Genomic DNA, 8094 nt, shown 5'->3' on the forward strand with positions numbered 1-8094 from the left:
TACCTGGGAGATGAAAAGCTTAATGCTAGGCAGTAGTTTTTTGAAAAAGCTGATACCGTAAAAGACAAAGAATAGAAAATAAGAATTTCATTTTTTATCAAAATTTACCAAATTAAAAGACATTAAAACATTTTTGTTAAAAGGCAAAGGTTTTTAGCATCAAATAACAATATCCAGATATTTGTATGTTTATGAAGAAACATTCCTGAAATAAAATGCTACAGAAGGTAAACACGAAACATACCTTAGTAATGTTAAGATGTTATTAGAAGAAACTGGGTTTGGGGTATGTGGCAACTCTCTGTACACTCCTTGCAATTTTTCTGTATATCTAAAACTGTTCTAAAATTAAAAGTTTATTAATAAAACGCAATTCTACCTGACATACTGCTTTGCAACTTGCTGTTGTTTTGAATAAAAATGCGCTGCGGAATGTTTTCCACGTTAACACATTGATTTATTTCCTTATTTGTAATACTTACAGAGTAATTCATTTTGTGATAGAGCAAGATTTATTAAACAAGCCTTTTTTGAATTTTATAGAATCTGAAACAATGCTGTGATAAAATATCTTGCACAAGCTGTTTTCTGCTCTGGTAGTTTGGAAGGATATTCATCAAAATGTCAGCAGTCGTTATGATGGAAAAGTGAATGTATTCTTCGTTTTTATGTGTGTAATTTTATGTAGTTTCTCAGGTTTTGCTTTTAAAATGTATTATTTCTATAATCGGAAGCACTATGATCTATGTTTTTCTTAGTCCTATATAAATATGACTTATTTTGTTTATGAAGTGAAATATATTAATAAAATAATTTTTATTAATATATTTCAGGGGAAAGGTTTTAATTTTGAGGGTAAAAATGGAACTGCCAGAAAGAAAACAGAGACACACACAGACATAGGCACACATAAACACAGACTGCTTGCAAAGAAAGAGGCATCAGTCTTTCTCATTGCATTTGATGTGATGTGCAATGAATCTTATGTAGGACTAAAGTATTTAGGCCTTGCAATGTGCAATGTTTTGTAGGACATTGCACATTGCGAGGATAGTACAAAGGGTTCCCATATATCCCAAACCCAGTTTCTTCTTCTAATAACATCTTACATTACTAAGATATGTTTTATGTTTTCTTTCTGTGGCATTTTGTTTGAGGAATGCTTCTTGGTAAACATTTTATCTTAAAGGTAAAATAGGCAAGTACTTTGGTCCCATATAACATTGCACATTGCATCAAATGTATTTGTTACAATGATTGGAAGATGATCTAAACTTGGGAATCACTACTGGTTTTCTGCTTTAGCTTTGCGTTTCCATGTAGTGCAAGCTGGCAAATAATAAACAACTGGGAGGAGGAGCCAAATAACATATTTCAAAGGGTCAATTTAATACATATTTTATGGAAGTTTTCTTTCAATTGCTAAAAATCCTTGATTAAATTTGATGACATCTTAAGTCACTTATATAAAACATTTATAAAATCCTTCAAGCTGATCATAAAGATCAAATTTAATCACATCAATAGCAGCACATTCAGCTATTTAAATATCCTATATGTAATGTGTAGCTTTAAATACTGTTATTAAGTTGGAATAAATATGAAATAACTTAGTATTCTATAAAAAATTCGGAGTGAGTAAAATAAATTTAATGAAATCACATCGAAATAATTAAAAATACTAATAAAATGCTGGGAAATAAGTAAATGAAAATGCTGGTTCTTGAAAATGTCCTTGCATTGCACAATCCTTTGGTGAGGACAATTAAGACAAAAAGATAGTGAATACAAATTCAAGCACTAAACAAAGAATATTACCAAACTATGGAGCATCTCTCATGGTTAATGAATACTAATGAGAATATCTTGGTAAATTTGATAAGTTTTAAAGATAGCTTAAATTACCAAAATAGGCTGAAAAAGTAAAAAGTGATTTGAGTGGAAGTTCTATGTTTCAAATTTGAGCAGGCTGCCTGTAAAAAGCTGGGCTTAGAGAGTCTAATATGTGGCTTTTCACAGGTTTCATCTGCTCTGTACTACATAGCAGGCATTTTAGATTGTAAAAGTGGAATACTTGCCTTTTTTCTTTCTTTGCCATTAAAGTAACATAGCACTAATTTCCAAGATGAAAAAGACATTGTTATGCATTGAGTTGTTTCTCCAAAAACAGGTGTTGAAGTTCTAGTCCCCAGTACCTCAGAATGCAATTTATTTGGATATAAAGTAATTGCAGATAAAATTAATTAAATTAAGAGAATGTCATACTGCAGTAGGTTAGTGCCTTAGTCCAATGTAACGTGTGTCTTTAGAATAAAAGGAAAATGTTGGGAGGCCAAGGTGAGTGGATCACTTGAGGTCAGGAGTTCGAGACCAGCCTGGCCAACATGGTGAGACCCCGTCTCTAGTAAAAATACAAAAAATTAGCCTGGCGTGATGGCGGGTACCTGTAATCCCAGCTACTTGGGAGGTTGAGACAGGAGGATCGCTCGAACCCGGGAGGCGGAAGTTTCAGTGAGCCGAGATCGCACCACTGCACTCTAGCCTGGGCACACAGCAAGACTCCATCTCAAAAAAAAAAAAAAAAAAAAAAAAAAAAAAAAAGAAGAAGAATAAAAGGAAAAGGAAAATGATGTGAAGACAGATACACGGGGGAATGTCTTGTGAAGATGGTGGAAGATATTGGAGTTATGTAGCCACAAACCAAGGAATGCCAAAGATTGCTGATGATGCTGGAGGCTAAGAGAAAGGCATCCCCCACAGCCTTGAGAGACCACGGTCCTGCAACACCTCAGTTTCAAACTTCCAGCCTTCAGAACTGTGCGACAATGAACTTCTGTTGTTTTAAGACACTCAGTTAGTGGTACTTTGTTATGGTGTTCCAGGAAACTAATACTGACATCATTAAGAAGAAAATTTTGAACCAATTTTGTGTATCAATATAATTCCAAAAATAAAACTGATAAATCTATCAGTGTATTAAAAGGATAATAACATATACAAGTATTGTGCCCACAGAAATATAAATTTAATATTAGTAAATGTATTCGTATAATTTTTCACAGCCATGGATCAGGGAAAAATGTCTGCTTCATTCACTAAAGCTGAGAAGGGCTAAGCCTCAGAGTCTGCTGTCAACATCCTCAGTGCCACCGTCTTGCAGGGATGGGGTCAGGGAGCAATCCAACAGTTGTTCCCATAGTTCCCAACTCCTTATAGATGTCCACCTGCAAGGCTTGGCATTCTGAGAAGACTGAAGATTCAGCAAAAGTACAAGAAATTACTATGGAGGGAAAAAGAGGGTCTAAATCTCACAGGAATCCCAAATCACAGATTAATAATACTTAGAACATCTGAAATAGTAGCTGAAAAGGAAAGACTCAGGAAGCAACTTAGAAAAATTGTCCAGCCTTTGCTAGAGAACAATGCAGTATTACCTAATGTTGGTCAGAAGAACACTTCACCATTGAGCAGCTTCAGCCAGAAGAGCAATGTAGCAAAATGGGTAAACTCCATTACCATTCAAAAAACAAAAAATGAAAGAAACATCAAGTCGCAAAGCACGAGCAAAATGTGAATAAGTAGAAGCTAAGCATGCTGCTAAGAAACAAGAACGTGAGAGGATAAAATGAAAGAGAAAAGCTCAAAGGCTCCTAAGCAAAGAAAATGCAAGTGTTCCAAATATTGAGCAAAAAGACAAGAAAGGGCCAACCAAACTTGAACTTATACATGGAGTATCTTCTTCATAAAATACATAAAAATAAATCAGAAATTTTGCTCTTAAAGGATTAAAATATCTGCTCTCTATTGAATTATTTTGTATAAGTAATGTGCCTCCTAACAATTAACTAAACTTGTCAACATAAACTATATTGCTTAGCTATATTAAATATAAAATGTCCAAATATTTTTGCTTTTGTGAAAGAAAATTTTTTCTTTTTATTACAGAGTCTCACACTGTTGCACAGGCTAGACTGCAGTGGCATGATCATAGCTCACTGCATCCTCGAGCTCTGAGACTCAAGGGGGATCCTCCTACCCTAGCCTCCTGAGTACTTAGGACTACAGGCTGGTGCCACCATACCAGCTGGCTATTTTTTAAATTTTATTTTTTTGTAGAGACAGGGTCTCACTTTGTTGCTCAGACTGGTCTCTAACTCCTGGCCTCAAGCAATTTTTCCACCTTGGAGTCCCCAAGTTTTGGGATTACAGGCGTGAGCCCAGCACCCAGCCAGAAAATTTTCTACATAGGCTTTATATAATATGATTTTTCTGTTATTTATTTGCTTAAGGAAGCCTTGCCTGAAGAACTAAAAGAACCTTCTTCTAGTTGAGAGACAAGCTCAAGTACATAACACTTTTGTATTATAGAAAATTCAAATGAAATGAAATGTTTTGAAAATCAGGTTGCAGAGCTTTCAATAAAGAATTTTAATGAATTTTTTTCAGTACAGTAATCAGCTGTTATGCTTTTAAAATTCATTTTAATGACAGGGAAGGCAAAGACTCCCATGTTAGTTTATTTATTTTGAATTAGGTATATGTTGCAGGGAAATATGGACTTTCCAGAAACCTGAGAGCAGAATACCTAGATGCTGAAACTCCCTTCAGCTCCTCATATAATGATGTAGTGGTGTTCATATAGCAGGGTTTGGCAGAGTCAGATTGGAAGTTCACAGCTTGTTAGCCTAAGCACATAGCTTGTTAGTGTTGAAATATATGAGTTAACAAAAATATATTGTGTAGAATTTACATAGGATGGCCTGTGCTCATGTGGGTATATGTGGGTGTGTATATGAACTGAGAGTAAACAAAGTAACACTGAGAGAAATAAAATAAGTCATAAAAATGAGAGACTTCTCTAAAACATTTAATTTGTAATTACAAAACAATTCGATGTTTTACATGTGCATGCACCCTGGATCAGTAATAGATCAGAGACAGTAAAAAGGACAAAATATGTAATTTGCGCCTCTCCCTCCTCCCCACTTTTTTTTTTTTTCTGCAGAGAGGTCTTATTATATCTGATTCCTGATTCCACACATGCTCACATGAAAAGTGCGGTCAAGTAATGAGGCTACATGGCAATCTGGTTTAACACTTAACACTTAACGCCCAATGCTTGTTTGGGTTTAGACTCTGCACTACGTACCTTACAAATATCATTGGTTTAATCTTCACAAAAACCCATTTTAAAGATGTAAAAGCTGAAAGCACAGCGTTGTCGTCCACAAAGTTATCCAATTAGAGAGTGTTTTTTTTTTTAATACAAAGCGCTCACAAATTTTGAAAGAAATAGTAATAAAAAATTACCTTTTTAAAGTATCTGTAGGAAGATGTATCTAGCACAGAAATATTTTGGGGTGTGTGTGCCAGTTCTCAATTTGTTGACTTTCAGCTCCAGAAATACCTTCATACCCTTACTCTGTAAAAAAGGACAGACATACTTTTAGTGTTTCTCCTTTACAGTGAGAACAATATTAAGCTTTCTTAGGAGAAGGCGCTGGAGGAAATTTGCAGGAGGAAGAAGCTTCTCTTGCTGGTACCAACAACAGTACACTTGGTCTGCAGTGTGGGTGGGAAGGTGTCTGGAGTGGCTGTGCCCCAGGTTGCGATCCCTTAGTGACCTTGAAGTCCTCATCCAGACTGGTGGGCATCTTCCTATAACCCTCAACATACATGCTATACCTAATACCCCCACTTTCTCTGGACATGTGTGCATTCAGCCATGAGCTGAGGCTCACCCAAACCTTGGAAGCTTACGCTCTGCCTCACCAGCTATTGCAGACCAGCTCAGTCTTGGGCAAAGCAGTGACCCTTGGTGTCTTCCCGTGGGTTGCAACTGTACCTTCACAAGGAAGTCTGATCCTTAACAATAGGAAGAGGGACTCTTTTCAAGATGTTTCTTCCTTGGGTATCCTTCCTCAGCCGTTGCATATTATATAGAATTCTATTGTATTTCATAATTACTGTTTTATTATAGTGTAATAATTCTTTACATTTAATGTTCTTTGTTTAAATCATTATGTGGTTTCGCTACACTGATAAAACCCAGACTGATACTTGTGGATGCCTTGTTTTTGATATAACATTCAATGGACTCTCTGATAACCACTGGGCTGCTTCACCTTCACCACAGGCTTTTAATGTTATATACAAAAGTGACCACAAAGAACACAAATTATTCCAAGTTATGTTTTAGCTTAACTCTTGAGGTTTATTTTCTTCTCTCCCCTGAATTGTTCAATCAGCTCTAATTCCATACCTTTCCCAGATATTAGGAATCTCAATATCAATTTCCTAATATTTCTAACCCTGTATATTGTGTTCAGGATCCCTGGGGGAGACACAAAGCTGTCCAGTGAGGGCTCTTGTAGGAGTAGGGCTTCTACTACTTTCTGGCAGGGTGGCATTTCAGTATTTTCATAACCTATTTGAATAGGTCATAACATTTTAGAATGTTGAATATAAGCCCTGATTATTATCCGTACTGTCCCTGTGGGGAAATACGTGAATTTTGAATAAGCAGCAGGAAAGAAACTAAGGTTTAAATTTGTTCAGATACACCTCCAATAAGTCGTCAAAGATATACCAGAGAGCCTAATGAGCAGCAAATTAATGAAAATAAAACAACTGTCCAGATGAACAAAATCTTTTGTTACTGCCATTTTTAATTACAAGACATTGATATTTTCTAAAATTTAATCTTTATACATTTTCTGAAAAACCAACATGTTTTCCAGTATAAGATTATTAACTATCTTACAAGAACACAGCAAACCCTGACCTATACAACTATGTCCTTCATTTATTCTTCAGTAATCCATGAACAGCAAGTGCTTAGCAAATAGAACTCAGGCATCTTAAGAGAAGGGAAAACTATTTTCTTATATAAGCTATAGATGTATTTCTGTTGCCTATTAGAAGAAAACTGGTTCTTAGGAAAGTCATCGATGATTTGCCACAATTAATTCCAAAATTTCCTTGTTGAAAGCAGGAAAGTAGAAAATAATTGATTGTATTAACAAGAATAAGAATCACAATCATCCATTTTTATATCAAATCAAATTATGAAAGTCAGAAAGCTGACTCATAGGAAGAAACTCATCAATGACACACACCTCTCTAGCCAAGGAAAACATCCATTTCATTTCTTTCAATATTCCTATATTGCCATTTGATGAAACTGAAGATTCTTGTCAGTTAAAAAAAAAAAAAAAAGCAAACATTCGATTTGTGAGGTTTTCACTATGTACTTCAGTTGAGGTGAGCTAAAGACCACTTTGTTACTAACATAAAGCTAACAATAAATCATTTACCCGGAAATAAGGTGTGCATTTCAAATAACATCATCATATACATTGTTTCACAAATCAAGGTTCTTAGTAGTAGATGTAAATGTCAGCAGGCAGCCAGCAATGGGCGTGTTTTCGAAATAGCTGATTACTTTTAATGCCCTGCACTGTTAACTCATACACACTATTTCCTGGAATTGTGTAAATGTTATCTATTTATTTGTTGTCTTGTGACTGTGGTTTTGTGAGGGGTCATCCCATGTTGTTCCCTGAAATTCTTAGAGCTATCAGTCTCACCACATTACAGAGATAAAACATTTCTGTTACTTCTTATCCTACTGCTTTATCCAAGTGTATTACCAAAGGGTGATGTGCTCCATTTCTGACCGTATCCACTTCTATCAGCCATTAACCACAGGTAAGTGGTTAGATTCTTACAGTAATCCCATTTACTCACTTTATAGATTTTTAGGTCCCTGCAAACATCAAAAAGTTTCCTGTATAACAATAATTGTAGGGTCTATAGAGGCAAAGCTTTTTAGTTATTAATGACTTCACAGAGTCATCAGTTTCCTTAACTTTTTAGGGTGCTCCTACTTTAAGGGTAAGTAGTTTTGACATTCACAGTGGCTTGATTCACAGACAGAATAAATGTCTGACTTCATATGAGTCAGAAACTCTGACCACCCATTTTTATGCATATAACCATTTATTTACCATGACATCACTGCTGGACAAGGACATTGGAAATATGATCCCCTTTAAGAATGTGGGCATTATAGTGCTTTGCGATAAAGCAAAC

Source organism: Homo sapiens, chromosome 18, assembly GCF_000001405.40.
Source record: "Homo sapiens chromosome 18, GRCh38.p14 Primary Assembly".
Taxonomy (NCBI): Eukaryota; Metazoa; Chordata; class Mammalia; order Primates; family Hominidae; genus Homo; species Homo sapiens.